The sequence below is a fragment of the Homo sapiens genome (genome assembly GCF_000001405.40).
Source record: "Homo sapiens chromosome 14 unlocalized genomic scaffold, GRCh38.p14 Primary Assembly HSCHR14_CTG4_UNLOCALIZED".
In the NCBI taxonomy this organism is placed as follows: Eukaryota; Metazoa; Chordata; class Mammalia; order Primates; family Hominidae; genus Homo; species Homo sapiens.
The window spans coordinates 55757-77631 of NT_113888.1; the positions used below are offsets into that span (position 1 = coordinate 55757).

The following is a 21875-nucleotide window of genomic DNA, read 5'->3' on the forward strand; positions in this document are numbered from 1 at the left end:
CCATGCTCCTGGAGGAACTGCATGGACTCCAATGCACCCCGTGCAGACTCACAAAGCCCAGTCCCCCAAGCTCCCTGCCTCCGAGTGCCCCCCGCCCACAACTCCCCTGAGTCCACCCACACCCTACCCACCCCGGGCACTTAGTCCCCTCCTGCCCCCGCGACCCCGTTCCCAGCACCGCTGCCCCCAAGGCCCCCTCTGCAGCACCTCTGTCCCCCGCAGCCCCCCTTCCCTAGTACCCAGCGCCCGCGTCCGCTTCTCGCACCCAGGAGTTTGCTATGCTCAAGTGGGCGGTGTTCGTGCTCCCTCTGCTGGCCTTGGGTGGAAATGCAATCCTGCCGGTGCCTGGGGCTGACCGCACCCCACCCTGTCCTGTCTACGGGCAACCAGGCTGTGCACGCGCTGGGCACTTGAGGAGGTCTTGCATGCTTTCTCATGCCAGGGGCAGACAGTTGCCCAAGTGCCCTCGGGGGCGAGGGCCTCTGGGCCAGGCTGGGGGAAGCAGTGCCGCTGGGGCCCCCAGGCAGAGGGAGGCGAGACCACAGCCAGGGCAAGCACGGGGCAGAGCTGGGGCCCCCCTCTCTTGGAAGGTGGTGGAGTGCCGGATGAGCCTGCACCTCGGTGCTCTGGCTGTGGTGGCGCCCGCAAGTCTTGTCGAGGTTGTAGGCCTCCACCTTGTCCGACCAGTCCATCTCGCAGATCTCCATGTGCTCTCAGTTCAGTCTGGGGCGGGGTGGGGCAGGGCCTTGGTGTGTGGCCAGGGAGGGCCCCGCTGGGGACCCTCCATGCTGCAGGCTAGGACTTCATGCCCGCTTCAGGAGGGAGCTCTGGGCCGGCTGTCCTCGTGCTCAGCAGTGACCAAGAGCTGCCGCCCATGCTGGGAGGCTGCAGAGCAGTTGTGGCACTGGGCTTTGGCCACTCAAACTCAGGCTGGTCCGGAACCTCCCCCACCCAGCCCTGTGCTCCCACTGTGACCTGGGACAGCCCCTGCCGGCTCTGAGCTTCAGGGTCCTGTCGTTCAATGCCTTGCCCCAGGACCAGCCGTGGGTGGGGTCAGGAGTCATCCCTTGGGCAGCCCTCGACCCACCAGATCTGGCTCACTGCTTGCATGATGGCTCTCTTCAGCAGCTCCTGAATGTTCCGGATGAGCTCAGCTTCCTGAGGGAGGAGACGCCCTGAGCACCAGAGCCGGTCCTTGGTGAGGATCCCAGGAGGCCCAGCTGCTGCAGGCCTTGGTCAACACCTGAGCAACCAGAAATAGTTGAATGCCGGGCCTGAGCTCTGACTGTGCAAGTTCTGCTCTCTCACTGGGTTTATCCTGGGCTTTTGGGCATTCTCCTTGGTGCGTTGTAAGTGGGGTGTTTTCCTCCAGGGCCTTCTATGGGCTGCTGGGAAGGTCACTCAGTGGCAGTTCCCACGCCCCAGGCCTCAAGAGTCATCACTGCTGCTCACTCAGTGCACCCAGGAACGTTGGCCTGTCCCTGGCCTCTGGACAGCTCCTGAGGACCCAAACTCTGGGGGCCCAGATGCCCGCCCAGGCTGCCCCTCAGGGCTCTGTGTTGGGAAAGACCATCCTCACACCAAGAGCAGGAGGAAGACCCTGTGTTTCTTCTTACTGCCTGGCCAGTTTAATTTTCTGTGTGTAGGAACAAGACTTTTTTCCCTGTGATTGGGGTCTTTGCCTGGACCACCAGCTACCTCCTTGTGTGCCAGAGCCCGAGTCCTGCACCCCTCTGTCCCTGGGTTTTCCTCTTCCTGCACTGTCAGTGTCTCCATCACTTCGCAGGCACCCTTGTTGCAGGCAGAGGGTTTGCGGGAGCTGCAGCAGTTCTTGAGGCACTGAGAGGGTGCAGGGGGATAGGCCTGCAGAAGGGGAAGGGAGGGAGGAGGGAAGGCATGAGGGGAGGGAGGGACTCAAGGGTTCTTGCCTGAGTTTGGGGGTATGGCAGGAGACCAGCTGCCTCCACCCCACATCTTTCACAAATGTCTACAGGCCTGTAGTGGTTCTCATGGAGGCCCCAGGCTCTGAGAGCTCAGGGAATTCTCCAGAGCCAGCATCAGGGCCAGGACTGAGTTACTTCCTCACCCTATGGGGTTGCCCCATAGACAAGCTGGGCTGGATTGGGAAGTTACAGGTGACATGGAGAAGGGGACCTGTGGGTGCAGATCTTCGTGTCCCTGGCTCTGTATAGGATGAATGGGAGCAGTGGCTCCCAGCCTATCCCACCCTACCTGTCCACACCCGCAGTGCTGGCCCAGACCTCGGTTTCCACCTCGGGAGCAACTGTCCCAACCAGGGAGGGTCTCTGGGGAGCCCAGGGTCAGGATGACTGTGCCAGGACTCAAAGGTATTGGAGGAGGAGAGGAGAAACAGCTGCTTGGAAGTCAGGGGCCTTCTGGGGCAAAACTGCCTCCTGTCACTAAGGGGTCAGATTTCGGGACTCAGGGGTCTCACGCACAGAGGGCTGGTCTCCCGTGTGCTTGCAGCAGCCACGTGGCTTGTCCACATGAACTGCCGGGGGCTCCTCCTCTCTGTGCCCACAAGTCCTGGCCACCCAAGGCTGCTGGCACCTTCAGCAGCTCTGTCTCCACATGGTCACGCAAAAGGTTGGTGTGCTGGTGGCGCTGGCTGCACTGCATGTTGTCAGTGGTGATGGAGAAGGGCACCTCCATGGCATCCAGGGCGCGCTCCAGCCGTTGCTTCTGGGCCAGCAGCAGGTCGGTCTCCGCAGCCAGTGCCTCCACCTCACGCTGCAGCTCCGACTTCCAGCTGTTCGTGTCCTGCAGTCGCTCGCCCACCCTGCACGTGGAGTCTTGCTGTGTCGGCTGTGCCAGTGCCTGGGTCTCTGCGGCCAGCTGCTGGCTCTCGTGCCCCTGCAGCTCCCGCTCTGACTGGTTGCAGTTGGCGAAGGCCTGGCGGTAGCGAGCATAGCAGTTCTGGAACCACACCTCCAGCCAGCGGTGGCCAGGCCGGAGGACGTGTAGGCGCCCGTGTTTCTGGCCACGTCATACTCTTTGCAGGGCAGCTCGTAGGGTGGCACTGTCTGTGGGGCCAGCTCTGGTAGGAGCACATCCGTCTGCACCATGGTGTCTGCCGCCCACCAGGGCCAGGGGAGTGAGGAGTGTGTGTGGTCAGCTTGTTGCGGTCAGCCCAGTGCAGTCATCGGTCGGCTCCAACGGCTCAGTCCCAGAGCAGGACCTGGCTCCCAGTCGCTTGGGTGACACAGTAAACCAAGAGCTTCCTGTTGCCAAGAAACGGGATCTCTTCTCCAGTGGCTAGGGGAGGGGGCATTCAGGGCGGTGGGCAGAATTGCCCTCTTAAAGGGCCAGGCAGCCCCAGCCCCACCATCCCTGTCCCCACCTCGGGGCAATCAACAGTGGCCAAGGGTTCCTGTCACTTAGAGGATCCCAGGGCCAGCCCGTCTCCAGCCTCTGTGTCCCACTCTTAGGGTTCAGGGTGTGGGTGGGGACCTACTGCCCTGGCCCCTTCGTTGATTCATCCATTTGTTCCTAGTTTGCTCTCTGATCCTGTCCTGTGCGGAGCTCTGCGCTCAGGGTGAACAAGACAGAGGAGGCTCTGCCCACCTGCCCCCTCAGGGCAGAGGGCTGTGGCTGTTGTGTGGATGTTGGGTGTGCTGAGTGATAGTGTTACTTGATGCCGTACAGGTGGCTGCTCTCCCTGCCCTCCTGGCCCCAACAGCAGCCTGGTAGCACAGGGAGGGTCCCAGGCCAGGCCCCCTCAGGGGCAGTCTGAGGCAGTTCCTGCAGGGACTCCGCTCCATTTTCTCCTGGACCTAGTGCCTGAGAGCCAGGCCCTGGCCTCTGGCCTTCTCCTCCCAAGTCCCAGCCAGGGTCCTCTCAGGCTGGGCACAGTGGGGAGGGAGGGAGTCTGAGTGTGCTTTTCCCTGGGGAGTTGAATTCAGCCTCTGGGTAAGTGTCCAGAGTCAGATGCCCAACTCTGCCCCACAGGGCGGAGGCAGGTCCTGTGCTGCCGAGGCTGCCCTGAAAGCCACCCAGGGCCATGCTGCCTGGCAGAGGCTGGATGGGCAGGAAGCGCCCCAGGACACATCGGAGTCCCCCAAACCTGGGGCCAGGGGAGCCCCAGCCTAGGCGCGATTCCCCACGCAGCCAGCGGAGGGTGGCGTTGGTCTGGCGGTGAGAAGCCTGCGGCTCCTGGCTCGGCCTCCCCTCCGCCTGCCTGGCGCATGCAGTCCTGGGGACCCCAGCCCCTCCGGCCTCCTCTTCCCTGAGAATCCCGCACCAGAAAGTCCTCGCTAGGAAGTCCATGCCCTTCCTACAGCACAGGCCCCTGGGCCCCTGTTCCTTCCACCTTCACCTCCTCTCTCACCACAGCCCACACCCTCACTCCAGCCACAGGAGCCGGGGCTCCTCCTGGGCCATTTCTACCACCCCGCCCAAGTCTCACCAGCACAACCATGTGCCGGCCAGTGCCCTCCTCCTGGACCTGACCTCCCCCGGACCTGACCTCTCCCGTGGCCAGAACCCTCAGTCCATGCAGCTGTCACCACGGTGCGCCTGGCCTGACACAGCCTCCTGATGGGGCTTTGAGGACAGCAGCCAGTAGACTTACCCCAACCCAGGCCGAGCCAGAACCTATTGCAGGTGGCCTGGGAACCTCTTCTCACTGTCCGTCAAGATTGGGAGGTCAGCGGACCTTCAGGGACTGGTGTGGTCTGAGAAACATCCTTGAGCCTCGCCATGACTCAGTTTCCCCAGATGGCATCAGGCTGGAGCCCATGCAGGGCAGGATGCCAGGCTCCACCTTTTGTCTGGAACCTGCATTCACTGGGCACCTCTCTGTAGGCATAGCAGAGCAGAGCTCCCTGTTTCTGTCCCTGATCTGCAGCCCCAGGAGCCCGAGAGACCACCTAAGCCAAGGGGAAGGCCTCTGGGCCAGAGCCCAGCTCTGCGAAGTGGGAGACCTCTCAGCCACCACTTCCAGGTGCCCTGAAGTCGTTGGCAGGGGGTGCTGCCTACTTGGGGCTCCCAGACTAAGGGAACACATTCACCTGGTGACCACAATAGGCCCTGCAGGCTGAGGCACAGGATTTGACCAAGGACGCATCAGAGTTAGGGGACTGGGCCCTGACTCCTGCCAGCTGCAAACTCCCAAAGCCCCCAGCCCTCTCATGGGGTGAAGACACCCTGAAGGACACTCCAGTGTGCTCCCACCTCTGGGTTCTGCCAGCCAGAGAGTGGGACTCTCAGGCCACATGTGTCTTGCTGGATCTCAGCTTCAGGGACCCAGGGTGCTGGCAGCTCTCTGAGACCTGGGTCAGGGGGTGTCCATTAGAGCACCTTGGTCAGGACCCAGAGATAGGGAGGGCAGGGCTAAGAGCACCCCAGGCAGTTGGCATCTCCAGAAAGCAGGAGGTAGGGCATGGCTCTGTGACAGATGTTCCATGACAGGGAGGATTGGAGGGACAGAGGGACGTGCTCAGGGGCTGAGGGGCAGACGAGGCCACCAAAGGGCACCTTGGACACTGGATGGCCCCAGGAAGGCCCCTGAACCCCATCCTGATTGATCCAGGGCCAGTGACCTTGGCCCAGACTGCAGGCCTGGGAATTCAGGTTCCTTTAGTTTCTTAAGAAACTACTATACTCCTTTTTGGCATAGCTGTACGATTTTACATTCCCACCAGTCATGTGTGAAAGCTCCAGTTTTTACTCATGCTCCCCAGCGTTTGATGTTTTATTTTTATTTTAGCTATTCTGATATATATGTGTTAGTCATTGTGGTCTTAATTTGCAAATTTCTAATGACTAATGATATTTAACATCTTTTCCTGTTCATAATTAAATACCATCTGTATTCCTTTTCACATATCATTAGCACAAATGTGAGATATCAGAACAAAATTTTTCACACAACTTCAAAATTTTTAGAACAATACTCAAGGGAAAAGGTGTTTATTTAGAACAATGAAAACAATGAGACATTAACTTCCAGCTTAAATAAAGTTGATTGTGTGCATAAAAATGGTGAAAATATTGGACTTTCTTGGCAAAAGAAGAAAGGGGAAGACTTTATATTTTCTGACATAATATTCATCATTTGTCTTTGGTTTGTGTATTATGTGTATGATTTTGAAAAAAATGCATCAAAGATATAACTTTCTGGTGTTTGCTTTGATATTATCCTTGCAAACAGAAAAGTTGGCACATGTTTCTGTATAAAACTGGTCAAAGTTGGCCTAGGAATGATCTTACATTGTACTTTCACTTTACATCATACTGTAAGAGTTTAATAATAGCTAAGGCATCAGCATTGATGTGGACTTATTATACCTATTCAAGAGGTGGTGTGAGGTTTAGGAGAGTTATGTGCCCTTTATCATAAAACAAATCTATGAAGCATTTATATAAAAACCCAGTATTTCTGGTTTCAAATTCAGTACTGTGCCGTCTGCTTGATAGATTTGTTCGCAGGTTAGAGACATTTTATTGCATAACTTCCATGAAATATCACAGTTGTACTCTTGACTATGTTTGAATCACAAAAAGACTTTAATCTGCACTCAGTTCTTGTAACTAAAATCTTCAGTTTGAATATGAATTTCACTTAAAGAACATCCCTAGAAATTTCAGAGAGAAAAAGACTTTACTTGTAGAATACAATCTGCATTTGCTTTGACAACTAGTTAGTTCACATATGTAAAATAAGTCTACCTGTCTGTATGCATAATTAAGATGTAACAGTAGTGTGGTAATGACTTGTTAAAGCAATTAGAATGGCAGTGGATCATGGCACAATTTACCTTAAAAGCCGTGAGCAGAATACATCACAAGCTATGATACAATGAATAGTCATTAGGTTTAAAGTAGTATCCACATATAAAAACACAAAGCATATTTTAGCTCTTTAAATGAAAGCTTCATTCAGTCAATATTGGTCTTCCTGTAGATGCATTTATGAAACAGAACCACAAAACATACAGCTTACCCGCTTCTCAAAACTCATTGCACAATAGGTTGAGGGACTTCTCTACACCAGGACCTATTATTAAAACCAGTAAGTCCTCAGTGAAAATCATTTATTTGCCCGGAGTGTCATCTGATGTGTCTGTTGTAGGCAGCTGTGGCAGTGGTGGGTGGTTTAGTGACACGGACCCTGCCCACGTCTGTCCATCCATCAGTGGGCTAGTGTCTCTCTGGCTGCACCTGAGAAGGGTCTATAGGAGTTAACGGCATTAGCATGGGATTCAAAAGAAATCATCTTGGATTCAAACTTCCATTTCAGTATTCATTTCCAGCTAAGTTTGTGTAGCATGCTTAATGTTTCTGAAGCTCAATTTTAGTAATGGTAAAGTATATCTGCCTAAAAGACAGGGACACATCCCAGTTTTGTGTTTTTTTATTTTTATTTTATTGTATTTTTCTTGAGACGGAGTTTGCTCTTGCTGCCCAGGCTGGAGTGCAATGGTGCAATCTCGGCTCACCACAACCTCCGCCTCCTGGGTTCAAGGGACTCTCCGGCTTCAGCATTCTGAGTAAATGGAATTATAGGTGCCCGCCACCACGCCCAGCTAATTTTTTGCATTTTTAATAGAGACGGGTTTCACCATGTTGGCCAGGCTGGTCTTGAACCCCTGACCTCAGATGATCCACCCACCTCAGATGATAATCCCGCCAAGTGCTGGGATTACAGGTGTGAGCCACCATGCCCGGCCTTATCCTCAAAAAAGAATTTATCAAAATTGTATGTGTGTGTGTGTGTGTGTGTGTGTGTGTGTATGTTTTAAGTAGAGTAACACTATATTAAAATGCCACTATATATGTTCTAACAAAAAATCTCAATTTAACAAATGTATGTGGGGAGAGGGAGAGAGAGAGGGAGAGAGAGAGAAGGAGGGAGGCAGAGAGAGAGAGAAGAGAGAGATATGTATCTCTGGTGTCTCTTCCTTTTTGGATGATGACCCCAGTCCTAACAGATTAGGGCCTTACCCTTTTGCCCCTATTTAACCTTTACCTTCTTAAAAGCTCCTTCTCCAAATACAGTCACACTGGGAGATAGGGCTTTAGGTTAGGAATTCTGGGGGGACAAAATTCTCTCCAGAACAGACACTAATATCATGAGTGCTCAGATTGCTAGTGAATATGTTCTTGTTACAATTATTTTCACTTTGCAGTTTTAAATAATGAATACTTGGATAAAAAATACCCACTGTATTCTAATTTTTTCAACACTTCTTACTTGCATGGATTCTAAACAGAAGTCCAATGTAATTCTTATTTCTGTTTCTCTGTAGACAATGTGTTTCTTCCTCTGCCTTATTTTAATATTTTATCTTTGTTACAGGTTTTCTACGGTTTGAATATGATATTCCTAGGTATATTTTTAAAATATTCATCCTGCTTGGTGTTCTCTGAGCTTTTTGGATTTGTAATTTGGTGTCTGTCGCTAATTTGTGTTTTTTTCCTAGTTAAAAAAATGAACTTTATGGATTTTACATTCTCAACTTTCACTTATTTTCAAAATGAGAGACAAGACACCTAAACTCCAAGATTTCAGTCCTGAATGCAATAGTACCAGATTTTCAAGTTACATAAGTGAACTGCATAAACACCACTAGTTTCAAGTGTACCCTATAAGAAACACATGGACATACTTGCGTTGTTTAACCACACGGTGTCATATCAATAAACATCAAAGTATCTGACATATATTTGTCCATTAAAAGTAAACACAACTCTGAGTATCAAATTAAATTAATCATTTGCCTTTTATAATCTAAATCAGAAATTGAAAAACAGGAACATTGTAGAGGTAAGTGGCTGAAAATGCTCTGCTTACTGCACACAAGCACATCATGACAAAGAATGCTAGAAGTAGCTTTCCTCAGAAGTAATAATTGAACATTTAAAATATTATTTTCTCAGAAAAGTTAAAGCTTTTAGTGTAAAAAGCATGGTAAATGACATTTTAACTTAATAGTTAAGTATACAGCAAATTATAGATTACAAGCAATTAGTTACCCACATTTCACCAGAACCTTCAGTGAAAGTGTCTACTCTCAACATTGACCAGAACCTTCCTGTTCTGAAGTGTCTACTCTTTAGAGTTGCTTCAGCTTTACATATCTGTAAAACCTAAGATTACTCAATGAGAAGTTACACCTTATTCTGTACTAGATACACATAATATATATAGATTTAGAACAAATGGATGTTTTTCAACTTCAAAAAAAGTATTTTAATTTACACAATGTTAGATTGTTTTTCACCCATGTGTATACATAACAGTGTTTCCCAAATTCACAGGGTCCATTTCCATGATTCTAAAGCAAAAATAGAGGCACACAAATGGATAATAATTCATAGTTTTATGCCTTTTTTTAACCTATCTTTAAAGAAATTCAGTTGCCATTTAGACAAAGATGTGATGAACCTGTAACAAATTTCTATGACATGGAAAATTAAAGGTCTAAAAATCCTAAATGTAGTAGCTCTGGGCAGTTTGCAATTTGTGCATGGGTTCACTCACCCTATGGTCCGTGAACTCCCTTATCCTGCAAGCTGTAGGTACTTTCAGCAAATATGAGACTCAATAAGACTAAGGAAGGGCTTGTTTAAATTAGTTCCCCTCACAGTTGATTCTAATCTTGCAATGAACAGATTTAATGTACTAGTGAGTTAAATTTTAAAGTAATTATAAAGCCATTTACTCTATCATAAATGAATGAAATGTAAGAATCACACTTAAAACAAGTCTTTCATTTTAATGAATGGTATCTTTCATTTATATACAAAGGAATTCACTTGCCAGCAGCATTTAAATATAGGAATAGTCTCGTCTTTTCTCTAGTGCCTTTTATAAAGCAGTGCCATTTCTAACTAGGTGTATTTGTTTCCCAGCTATTCAGTAACTACACTATAGGTATCTAATAGATTCAAGAAAAGATTGGAAAATTGAGAAGATTTAGCATTTTAAACATTTGAAAAATGTTGCTACAAAGCATAGATTATGAATGCATTAGTAAAATAAATTGACACCTTATGTGAGAATCATTAAGTTGGTTTAATTATATCACAGAAGTATGGGCTCACTAATATTTATACCAATTTATGCTAATTAAACCAGAAAGTTTCTGTAGGTAATTCAGCTCTGAGCACCATTTAATAGGGTTATGCCAAATAGAACCAATGGTTATATAATACCCAGAATATAAACCTCAGCAAATTCAAACTTTTGGAATGGCAACACAAGTGAGAATGAGAGGCAATATTTCATTTCAAAGTACCGTAGGCTGCTAAGAGTGTTCTTTTCTTTTAAAAATTTGTGTGGTTGTTAGTAATGTACCTTAACACTGGTCCTCCTTGACAGCAGTGTTAGAGATGGTTAGGTAGAACCTATATTACGGAAGTCAGCGTTGCCCATTTCTTTAGTTCAGTGATTAAAATTGAAATTACTTTTACAAAACAATTGAACTGCTGCTTACAATATAAATAGAATACCAACAGGATTCCTGTTGTATTCACATTATTCTCTAATTAGTATTTTTACATTTCCACTCTGACCTGACCTTCAGTAGTTCCTTTATTTTTATTTTCAAACATTTTTGTGAGTATATAATAAGCATATATATTTACGGGGTGCATGAGATGTTTTGATACAGGCATGCAGCATGAACTAATCACATCATGGAGAGTGGGTATCCATCCCTTTAAGCATGTTTCCTTTGTGTTACAATCCAATTAGATTCTTTTAGTTATTTTTAAATGTACAATTATTGACTAGAGTCCCCCTGTTGTGCTATCAAATAGTATGTCTTATTCATTCCTTCTGCCTATTTTTGTACCCATTACCCGTGCCCTGTCTCCCCCCATCAGCCCCCTAGTACTTACTATGTCCTTGAGTTCAATTGTTTTGATTTTTAGATCCCACAAATAAGTGAGAACATGCAATGTCTGCCTTTCCGTGCTTGGCTTATTTCCCTTAACATAATGATATCCAGTTCCTTCCATGTTGTTGCAAATGACTGAATCTCATTATTTTTTAGGGCTGAATAATACTCCACTGTGTGTATCTACCACATTTTCTTTAATACATTAATCTGTTGATGGACACTTAGGTTGCTTCCAAATCTTAGCTATTGTCAACAGTGGTGCAACCAACATGGGAGTGCAGATAATTTCTTCGATATACTCATTTCTTATTTCTGGGGTATATATCCAACAGTGGGATTGCTGGATCATGTGGCACCTCTATTTTCAGTGTTTAGAGGAACCTCCAAACTGTTCTCCACCATGGCTGTACCAGTAGTACCTTAAAATGCAAATGCAATTGGTAAAAGAACAAGGCAGCATGTAGTGCTTGCACTTACAAATACTACCAGTTTTGTAACAATTTGCATTTTTTTTTGTCCTTGAAAGAGTAACCACTTACTTAATAAAACTAATATTTAAAAGCGCAATATTCCTTCCTTTGCATGGCATGCAGGAATGGTGAAAACAAAGAAACAGTCATCCCTTCTCTTCCCCCCACTTCTGGTCTCCCGAAATAGGAATGCCAGGTCAGACAGGTGGAGGAGGGAAATGGGGCACAGGTCAAGGTATGATGAATCTCTTAAAAAGAAATCTGGCCAGGCACAGTGGCTCACGCCTGTAATCCCAGCACTTTGGGAGGCAGAGGCGGGCGGATCACGAGGTCAGGAATCGAGACCATCCTGGAGAACACGGTGAAACCCCGTCTCTATTAAAAATACAAAAAAATTAGCCGTGTGTGGTGGCGGACGCCTGTAGTCCCAGCTACTGGGAGGCTGGGGCTGGAGAATGGCGTAAACCCGAGGGGCGGAGCTTGTAGTGAGCGGAGATGGCGCCACTGCATTCCAGCCTGGGCGACAGAGCGAGACTCCTTCCCCCGACCGCCAAAAAAAAAAAAAATACCGCTTTCCCCAGAATGCTAGCCTGATAGGAACTCCACCCCATCCATTCCAACCTAGTAAGGATAGTTTAGTTTGTGTTTTCTGGTCTCACTTCCTTACTTCTAGTGTTCTTTTTTTGTTTCTGTTATTAAATTTCAGAAGACAAACCTTAGCATTTTCTAAAAGAAATTATTTTTTACCTAAATACATTGGACTTTGGTCTTAATGTGAAGGAATAGGATAAGTGGACTTTAAGAGAGCGTTCCTACTCCTTCTCTTCCAGTGGCTGCTCTGGGTCCCTGAAAGAGGGTGTGATGTGGACCATCTGGGTTGTGAAGTGGATTTTGCTGAGCCTGTGTTTTTTAAGTCCATTAGTCCTGCCCGAGGCTATGCGCCCTGGAATCCTTGGCTTCACGTCTGGACCACCTTCAGCCAAGTGGTGATGGTGGAGAGGGTCCCCCCATCTTCCAGGACATGTGAGAGTTTGTAGGTGGTGAGATGGAGGGGGCAGCTTTTAAATCTTCCAGTACCCACCTCCGCTGCTGGCAGTGCTCTCCCCATCGTCTTGTCCAGGACTCCCATCAGGGTCTCAATCTCTTCTGTGATGCTCTGACTCACATGCTGGGAGGCCCTTTCCCAATGTAGTCCCTGATGTCCACATCGGCGTCCTATGTCCCCACTAGCAGCTTCACCATCTCCAAGGTACATGGCTGCCAAGTGCAGGGCGGTGTAGCTCTGGCCTTGCTGTTCCCAGGCAGCAGAGGCTCGTTGGGGAAGTTGACCAGCATGGCCATAAGCTCCAGCCTGCAGTGCTAGGTGCCTGCGCAGGCAGGTGAGGCTGTGATGAAGCCCAGAGTGGCCAGCATGCCGGCTGGCATGGGGACAACCCCCTAAGCTGTCCACTCCCCATAGGAGGCCGAGAGCAGCCAGCCGTGCTCCCTGGTCCAGCTCACCCAGCCCCACAGCTCTCCTCCGCGGACGGGAAAGCCAGCGCTGCGCTGCCAGAGTCACTCGCCTCTGCGGTGTCCTCGGAGGAGGAGCTCCCAGGCTGCTGCCTCCAGGACACAGGTTCCTCTTCAAGGGCAGGGCACTGCGCCTTCCCAAGTCGCTCAAGTTCTGGCGGAACGGCCTCGGGGCGGTAGCCCCCCAGGAGCTGCCCCTGTCCGCCTCCTGGCAACCGTGGGGCGGGGGCTCCAGGTCCTCTCTGGTCTGAGGTCCTGCATCTGGGGTAGGGGCTGGTGGAGCCGGCGAGCTCTTCTTGCATCCCCGCCGCTCAGGGCGGCCCGTTCAGGGGCTGGGCTCCCCCTTGCCCAGCTCGGCCCTGCCTGTGGAGCACCTCGGGGACCGCTGTTTCAGGGAGGGGATGGTGAATGCTGCGCTCCGCGTTCACGTGGACGCGGGACAGGTCCCAGGGGCGCGGCCTCAGGCGGAGGCCCCACCAGAACCTCTTCCTGAGACGCAGGTACTGGGCGCCATCGACGGGGTCCCTGCAGTGGCCACAGCGTTCACCCGGAGATACATTTAAACAGTTTTATTCTCCTGTTTTTTATTTTTTCATTCCAGAAACCATTACTACTATGCAACAAAGTAAAAATATCTAGTTTAAATAATAATTTGATATGGTCAGGTGGGGATGAGTGCACACGTGTGTGTACACACACACGCAGGCTCTAAATGGGATATTTTGGCGGAGCAGAGGGATAAGGCTTTTATTTCGTTGGCGTGTTGAGTTAGAATCGCCCTTCTCACAATTAAATAATTTAAATCAGGAGTTTTATTAAAGCTAATTTGTACAACTAGGCAACATCTTTTCTCCATATATTTATACACATATACACATCTCTAATATTTGCATTTATTACTTCATCTAAAAGAGCTTGGAAAAAGGGTCCTAGGTCTTGGCTAGTTAAGGTAAAAATCTATATTTTAAGGTAATAAAAACGTTTGCTATGGACAGAGACATGCAGACACTGTGGGTGAAGCTGATTCATGTTCCATGGAAGGAAATGACGTGGGGTTTTCTAAGGGAAAGCCCAGCATGCTGCAAGGGAGGGGAGGTCCCAGGAGGGAATTGGAGTCAGCATTAGGATCTAAGTGTCACAGGGGAGTGTATTCCCAAAAAAGACTGTGACTGTTTCTGTGTCCATCCTGAACTGGTTACCATGAGTGTGTGTGTGTGTGTGTGTGTGTGTGTGTGTGTGAATTAAAAGAGGAGTTACATGCTGGGGCATTTCTGGTATCTCAACTGGCATCTCAGCTGCTGGTGATGATGGCTATACATTTTCCTCAGTATTCATTGTGCGTATTTTGAGTTAACAGTCCACCCATTGGCTGAGGCAGGTGGATCATCTGAGGTGAAGAGTTCGAGACCAGCCTGGCCAATATGTGAAACTCTGTCTCTACTAAAAATACAAAAATTAGCCAGGCATGGTTGCAGCACCTGTAGTCCCAGCTACTCGGGAGGCCAAGACAGGAGAATTGCTTGAATCCAGGAGACAGAATTTGCAGTGAGCTGAGATGGACCACTGCACTCCAGCTTGGGCAGCAGAGTGAGACTTGGTCTCAAAAAAAAAAAGTTATTGTGACATGCTGTACACATTCACAAATTCAGTGTCTCCCAGAAGTCTGAGATTCTTTTTTTCTTTCTTTTTTTTTTTTTTGAGAAGGAATTTCACTCTTGTTGCCCAGGCTGGAGTGCAGTGGTGTGATCTCGGCTAACTACAACCCTTCCTGGGTTCAAGCGATTCTTCTGCCTCAGCCCAAGTAGCTCCTGCCTCCCAAGTAGCTGGGATTACAGGCATGTGCCACCATGCGCAGCTAACTTTTTATTTTTAGTAGAGTTGGGGTTTCTCCATGTTGATCAGGCTGGTCTCGAACTCCTGATCTCAGGTGATCCACCCGCCTTGGCCTCTCGAAGTGCTGGGATTACAGCCATGAGCCACCATGCCCAGCCAGAAAGTTTTAAGGCTATGATTATTAGACCATCATACACACAAAAAGTACTTAAAAAGTCTCAGGAATGCAGTCCCTCATTGGCCTGGTATGACAAAGATAAAAAGAAGTTGGTCGTGAAAATTTCTGAATGTGGTTTAAGACAAGGAACCCCAGTAAGATTCAGAGACAACCTAGAAAATTGAAAGACAATTTTACTACCCAAATCACCCTTCTATAAAAAATAATAGAAGATGTCAAATATGAAAATAAAACTGTCCTCTGGGCCCTCAATTTTCTGTGTTATTGGGAAGGCAGACAGCTACTCAGCAGTTATATCCCATAAGAATGGATAACACTAAAACAACTGAAAGCATCAAGTATTGGTTAGAAAGTGGAACTGATTCTCATACATTTTCATTTTAGTTTAAGATGGCACAACCACTTAGGAAAATGTCTCCCTATTTCATACAATGCCAAATATATACTTATTTTATAACCCAGAAAATCCACTCTTATGTACTTAAACCCAAGAAAAGTGAAAATATTATTACAGAAAAATGTGTATATCTGATTTGTTCGTAGAAGGTTTATTCATGATAGCCTCAAATCAGAAACTGCTTTTGTGTCTATCAATAGTGGAGTGGATTATAAACAAAACAAGCAAAGGCCTCAAACCTGTGGTATAGTCATAAAATTAAGTATTACAAAATAAAATTAATGAATAATCAATAGGAGCAAAATGATGTCACAAGCATGTTTAGTGAATGAACATAAAAATTATATAATTTATAGTTTCACTTATGTAAATGGTGAAAACAGACAAAACTATCCTTTTGTGGAAAGAATCAAAACCATGGAAGCCTCTGTGTTCAAATACTGAATGGAAATGGGCATGAGAAAACGTGTTTCTGCCAGATCTTCTATATGCCTGATGTACATTCACTCGATGTATTTTGCATACATTATTTTTGCAAATAAAACTGAGATAGACGCAAAATAACTCAAGAGAAAATAGCTAGAAATAGGTAGAGTTGGGATAGAAGCCTTGGAAGCTCCCCCCTACCTTGCTCACCTGGCACAGGCTGAGGAAGCCCTGGGACAATGCTGTGAGCGATCTGAGGGCCTTCCAGGGGAGCCCCGCCAGCCCATGCTGGTGCCCGAGCTGCCCGCTGCCATCTGAATATGTTGCAAAGACAGTGCTGGCCTGGCAACCGGTGACGCTCCATGCCCCACCCCGACCCCCACTTCTACCCAAGTAGCGGCAACCCCAGAGACAGATGCCTGGGCGTCAGTGGCTAAGTCTGGTAGTTGGCCAGGCGGCCAAAGGACGGGAACTGGCCGTTCACCCCATCCCAGTTTCCACGGAGAACTCAACCACCATGGCCCCTGAGCTGACCCTCAGGCCTGGGCTGTGCTCTGTGCCTGCAAACCTGATGCCATCCAGGGGAGCTCGGCCTTCCCACGCCAGCACCTCAGCTGCTGCAGAAAACTGCAAAACTGCAAGTTGCACACAGGCAGAGATGACGGAGCAACCCCTGACCCTCCGTGCCACTCACCCTACCCGCACACACACTTGCCACGCGGACCCTGAAGCCAGTGCCTGGGCGCCCAAGTCAGGCAGTCCACACAGCAGTGGCACCAGGCTGAAAACCTGCTGCTCAATACCATCCCGGTTACCACGAAGAGCCAGCCCTGGTGGCCCCTGAGTTCTTGGAGGAGGCCAAGTCACAGCAACCCCTCAAGTGGGTGGGCGATGCACTTGACCCTGAGGACATCAGGTACCAGGCCTGCCAGCTGACTCCAGCATCGGAGCCGCAGCTGCAGTCTAGACGTGGTGCACCGGCAATAAGTGACTGGACACCCCAGACCAGGCCCGCCCCCAAGTAGCGTGGATCTTGAGGCCAGACCCCTAGGCGGCAAAATCAGGCGACGGGCCCCGCCAGCAGCCGCTCAGTTTCATCCATGTGGATACAGAGTGCCCAGCTCCCGGGCCCAGGATCCAGAGAGATGCCCAAGAGGAGTGGAACTTGAGGCCAGGTGGGCTGTGCGCTCTGCGACCCTGAGGCCATCCAAGGGAAGCTCCGCCGTCCCACGCCAGTGCCAGATCTGCAGCTGCAAACTGCGCATGGGGCACTGGCAGCAGTGAGGGCTGGTGGGGGAAGGAGCAGCCCCTGACTCTGCCCCCATGCCTCTCCAGCTACCTGACACTAGCCACACAGACTCCAGGGCCAGAGCCTCAGCGTGAAGCCGGGCCATCTGCGAAGCCACCCAGGTGGCCACGGAGTGCCCTTGCCAGCACCCTATCTCCCTTCCGAGGAGGAGCGGGGCGGGCTGCAAGGCCAGACAGGCCCTCCTTCTCAGGCCGGGCTGGCGGCGCTCCTGCGATCCTGGGGACGCCCGGGCGATCCCAAGAGGACCTGCGAGCCCATCGGCGCCCGCCCAGAGCTGCAGCCCCACCTGCCAGCGCGCGCCACCAGGGAACGGCTTCCGGGAGCCGGGCAGCAACCGCGGTGCATGCGCGCGCCCAACGGCTTTGCGAGGCTCACTCTGTCTGAGAGGTCGGAGGCTGCGAGTGTCACTGCTGAAGGCTGTGGTGGACCGGGCTGGATCATGGACTGTGGAGTAGATCACAGATTTGGGATCGCGGATTGGGGGTTGATCACAGATTTGGGTTTGGATCAGGGATTTGGGGTTGGATAGGGGATTTGGGGCTGGGTCGGCCGGGGTCGGGGGAGGGGGTGGGTGAAAAGGTGACAGGGAGGTCGGCCGGGGTCGGGGGAGGGGGGTGGTGAAAAGGTGACAGGGAGCTGCCCCCGCTCAAGAGCCGGAGGTTGGGGGTCTGAGAAGTCACCACTATGAAGTTATTCGGCTTCGGGAGCCGCAGGGGCCAGACAGCCCACGGCTCCATAGAACATGTCTACACGGGTTCCAGATACCGAATCTGGGACTCCGAACTGCAGAAGATCCACAGGGCAGCTGTCAAGGGCGACGCCGCGGGGGTGGAGTGCTGCCTGGCGCGCAGGAGCGGAGACCTGGATGCCCCGGACAAGCAGCACAGGTAGCGGGGACTCAGCCCGGGGTGGGAGGGGGTCCCCAGGCCTGGCTTCCCCACTGCCCCTGGGACGGGGCCTTTCAGGGCTCTGGGCACCCTCAGAGCGGCGGAGCCAAACGGACTCTCAGCTGTTTTCCATCCCTCATAATTCCATGGCTGGAGCAGTTGGAGAATTTGAGTGATTTAACTCACAAAGTTAAGCATACACAGTGTTGTTATTTTTAACGTACACGTTGAAAACATGGTTTATATACATTATAGGAGGTGCCTAATGAGAGAACTTGTTCCCCTATCAAAAATACCGTGAGTTATTTCAGTAGGCAAAAAGTTCTCAGATAAGAGAGCTTACTTGAAAAATATTTACTATATTATATATATATATGTATGTATGTATTTTCTGATGAAAAGTATGTTTTCATTTTATAGGGAATTCATTATATTCTTTTTTTTTGTTTTTGAGTCGGAGTCTCACTTCTTTGCCCAGGCTGGTGTCCAATGGCACAATCTTGGCTCACTGCAACCTCTGCCTGCCGGGTTCAAGCAATTCTCCTACCTCAGCCTCCCAAGTAGCTTGGATTACAGGCAGGTGCCAGCGTGCCTGGCTAATTTTTGTATATTTAGTAGAGAGGGGGTTTCACCACGTTGGCCAGGCTGGTCTCGAACTCCTGACCTCAAGTGATCTGCCCGCCTCCGCCTCCCAAAGTGCTGGGATTACAGGTGTGAGCCACCGCGCCCGGCCTATGTTGTTTATTATATATCATAAGTTATATATATATATATATATATATATAACTGATACGTATACATATATACCAGATATAATATGTCATATATATCAGTTATATATACACATTAGATGAAAAGTACGTTTTCATTTGACAGGGAATTCTTTCAAATCAAATCATCAAACACTCTAAAATTGGGCAAAGTACACTTTTCCAGATCTGCAAGTTACTTGTGTACATAGGAAAAAGTCCTTCGCATTTCTGGTATAAGAATTTAAATTAAAAGAGGAATGAAACAGTTTTCTATCCACAATATTTGTGAGGATGTTTTATACTCCTGCTTAAAGTTTAAGTTGCTGATTACTTTTCAAATAGATAATTTGGTGGTAAGTACTACAATTAAAAAATATGTATGCCCTTTACCCATCAATTCCATTATACTAAAACACCCTTAGGAAATAAAGATACATGCACTTTATTTTTCACCTCACTTATTTTAAAAAGAACCCAAAGAATGGATCCCATAAATAAACTTCAGTTGCATCCACAGGATGGAATAATATGTGACCATTGAAGGTGGCAATAGATACAGAAGTATATTGATGTGCGAAGATGTATTTTGTTATAGCTAGTGAGAAAAAAATCAATTAAGTTATACATACAAACATACTATGGTCTTGTTTTATCAAAAAATATGTACAAAATATAAAATTTGTAATTTCTGAGCATTTGTATTTTAAGTAAAGTTCTTTTCCTTTTTCTTATCTGTGATTGCTGCAGTAAGCATGTACAAAACTTCTAGTAAAGTTTATTAATAAAGAAATAATCCTTGGGAAGACAGGAATATGAATCTTACAATATTAAAAATAATTTCTTACTTTCTATTTTTAATCATTATTGAGTGTATTGTTATCTTCTTTGAACTTTTAGCCTCTTCAGAAGTAAAAAGGGAATATTTTTATCTGTTTCCAGATTTTATTATCTATATATTTTATTATGTACATATGTTTTTCTTATGTATTCATTCAATTTATGCAAACAATGATAGATTAATCATTTCATTTTAATTGTATTCTTAAATAAAAATAACATATAAATATTACTATTGCAAAAATATTGCTTTATAGGCGTTTATTTAAAAATATTGAACTCCCCAACTGTATTTTTCCATTCTTTCATTCCATTTATTCATCAAACATAACCTGAGTACCTGTTATGTAGCAGACATATTCTGCTATCTCTCAGGTCCCTTCTATCCTTAAAAACTTCATGTTTACCTGCCCTGCCTGCACAAGCTGAGAGATTTAAAATAGGAATATTGGGACTTAATCTCCTTGAAACTTTGTCACCCAACTTTCAAACAAAAGCATTTCTGAAGTTAGAAAATAGTAGAAGATAAGCTTTAACTGCCCACTCAAAAGTTTATCAGTCTTAAATACTAATATTAATCATGGGAATGTCTTATTTGCATATATTCTGTAAGCATAAATATTGAATAAAATGAGCCATATGTATTCATTTGAATCATGAGTTTCCTTTGTCTTCAATTTGTTTGAAAATCAAGGAATTAATTTGTTTGAAAAATGCATTATTATTATTTCAGTGTTCTATCCCCATAGTACCTTTAAGCAGGCGGACAAGCCAGCAACCTCACCCACTCAAGGAAACCCAGATGGCCAGGTTCCAATAGCATGAGTAGCTGCCACCTGATGGCTGATGGAGCAGAGTCCTGAGGAAAAGCAGATGGCACTGGGGCCCTAACTCTAGGGCAGAAGAACTGATGTACTGTGACTGGCAGCATGTGAGGTTGGTGATTGGCCCACCTGTTCCTGGCACACCCTTGCAGAGGTGGCTGGTTGCTCTTTGAGCCAGCTTGGCCTTGCCTGGCATGCACAAGCCTTGGTGCAACAACCGTGCTACAAATGGAGCCATATATAGGAAAGGAGTAGGAGGCTCAGGAGCAGGGTGTGCACTGCCTTTGGGGCTCCAGTGCATGCCTCAGGGCTCCTATGGCACTGCAGGCTTCTTTGTTGCCAAGAGGCAGACCACAGGACGTCTTGAGGAAGACTTTATGTACAAGTGCAGAAAGCAGCCAGGATTACCACCCAGGGGACTCGGCCTTCTGTGGCCCTGGCCTGACAGAATTTGGCCCAAGGCAGGACAAGGTCACTCAGAGCAGTGTGTCAGTAGGTGGGGCCTGTGCATGCGAGGCAAGGCCAAGCTGGCTCAAAGAGCAAGCAGCCACCTCTGCAAGGGTGTGCCTGGAGCAGGTGGAACAGCCACCAACCTCACCCACTGAAAGAAGCCAGGATGGCCAGGTTTCCACAGCCTGAGTGGCTGCCTCCTGATGGCTGATGGAGCAGAGGCCTGAGGAAAAGCAGGTGGCATATTTAACTCTTTAATCCATCTTAAGTTAATTTTTATATAAAGCAGATGGCACCAGTCCATGCCTCAGGGCTCATATGGCACTGTGGGCCACAGAAGGGTGAGTCCCCAGGGTGGTAATCCTGCCTGCTTTCTGCACTTGAACATAAAGTCCTCCTCAAGATGGCCTGTGGTCTGCCTCTTGGCCCCACCTTTAGGGTAGAAGAACTGATGTACCACGTCTGGCAGTGAGTGAGGTTGGCAGCTGGTCCATCTGCTCCTGGCACACCCCTGCAGAGGTGGCTGCTTGCTCTTTGAGCCAGCTTGGCCTTGCCTGGCATGCACAAGCCTCGCTGCAACAAGTGTGCTACAAATGGAGCCATATAGAGGAAATGATCAGCAGGCTCAGGAACGGGGCGTGCACTGCCTTTGTGGCTCCAGTCCATGCCTCAGGGCTCGTATGGCACTGTAGGTTTCTTGGTCGCCAACAGACAGACCACAGGCTTTCTTGAGGAGGACTTTATGTTCAAGTGCAGAAAGCAGCCAAGATTAGCACCCAGGGGACTGGGCCTTCTGTGGCCCTGGCCAGACTTAGAATTTGACCCAAGGCAGGACAAGCTGACTCGGAGCAGAGTGTCAGTACCTGGGGCCTATGCATGCCAGACAAGGCCAAGCTGGCTCAGAGCAACTAGCCACATCTGCAAGGCTGCACCTGTAGCAGGCAGACAAGCCAGCAACCTCAGCTACTCAAGGAAGGAGGGATGGCCAGGTTCCCACAGCCTGAGTGGTTGCCGCCTGATGACTGATAGAGCAGAGGCCTGAGGAAAAGCATATGGCACTGGGGCCCTACCTCTAGGGTAGAAGAACTGATGTAAGCTGACCGGCAGCAAGTGAGGTTGGTGGCCAGTCCACCAG

The 21875-nt window shown here is 48.6% G+C and overlaps 1 long non-coding RNA gene and 2 pseudogenes across 5 annotated transcripts in view; 1 reads left to right on the plus strand and 2 right to left on the minus strand.

The window, feature by feature from the left end:
- Positions 1 to 6269, plus strand: part of LOC105379274 (uncharacterized) — a 31237-nt gene extending 24968 nt beyond the window's left edge. Inside the window, exon 7 of the long non-coding RNA XR_007068493.1 lies at positions 1126 to 6269. This is a non-coding gene — a long non-coding RNA (uncharacterized LOC105379274). The remainder of the gene's footprint in view (positions 1 to 1125) is intronic.
- Positions 1 to 21875, minus strand: part of MAFIP (MAFF interacting protein) — a 61485-nt pseudogene that overhangs the window by 2168 nt on the left and 37442 nt on the right. Inside the window, exons 3-5 of one of the 4 annotated variants that reach the window (NR_046439.2) lie at positions 2572 to 3242; positions 1699 to 1863; positions 266 to 1243 (exon numbers count right to left, since the gene is read on the minus strand). The exons of 2 other annotated variants lie outside the window; for them this stretch is intronic. The product of NR_046439.2 is annotated as an MAFF interacting protein, transcript variant 1 (transcript). Of the gene's footprint in view, positions 1 to 265; positions 1244 to 1698; positions 1864 to 2571; positions 3243 to 5900; positions 7194 to 21875 lie in introns of those variants that run through there. One more of the 4 variants, NR_046442.2, reaches the window with a different exon arrangement.
- On the minus strand, positions 10120 to 15995 carry LOC128966559 (ankyrin repeat domain-containing protein SOWAHC-like; annotated as a pseudogene).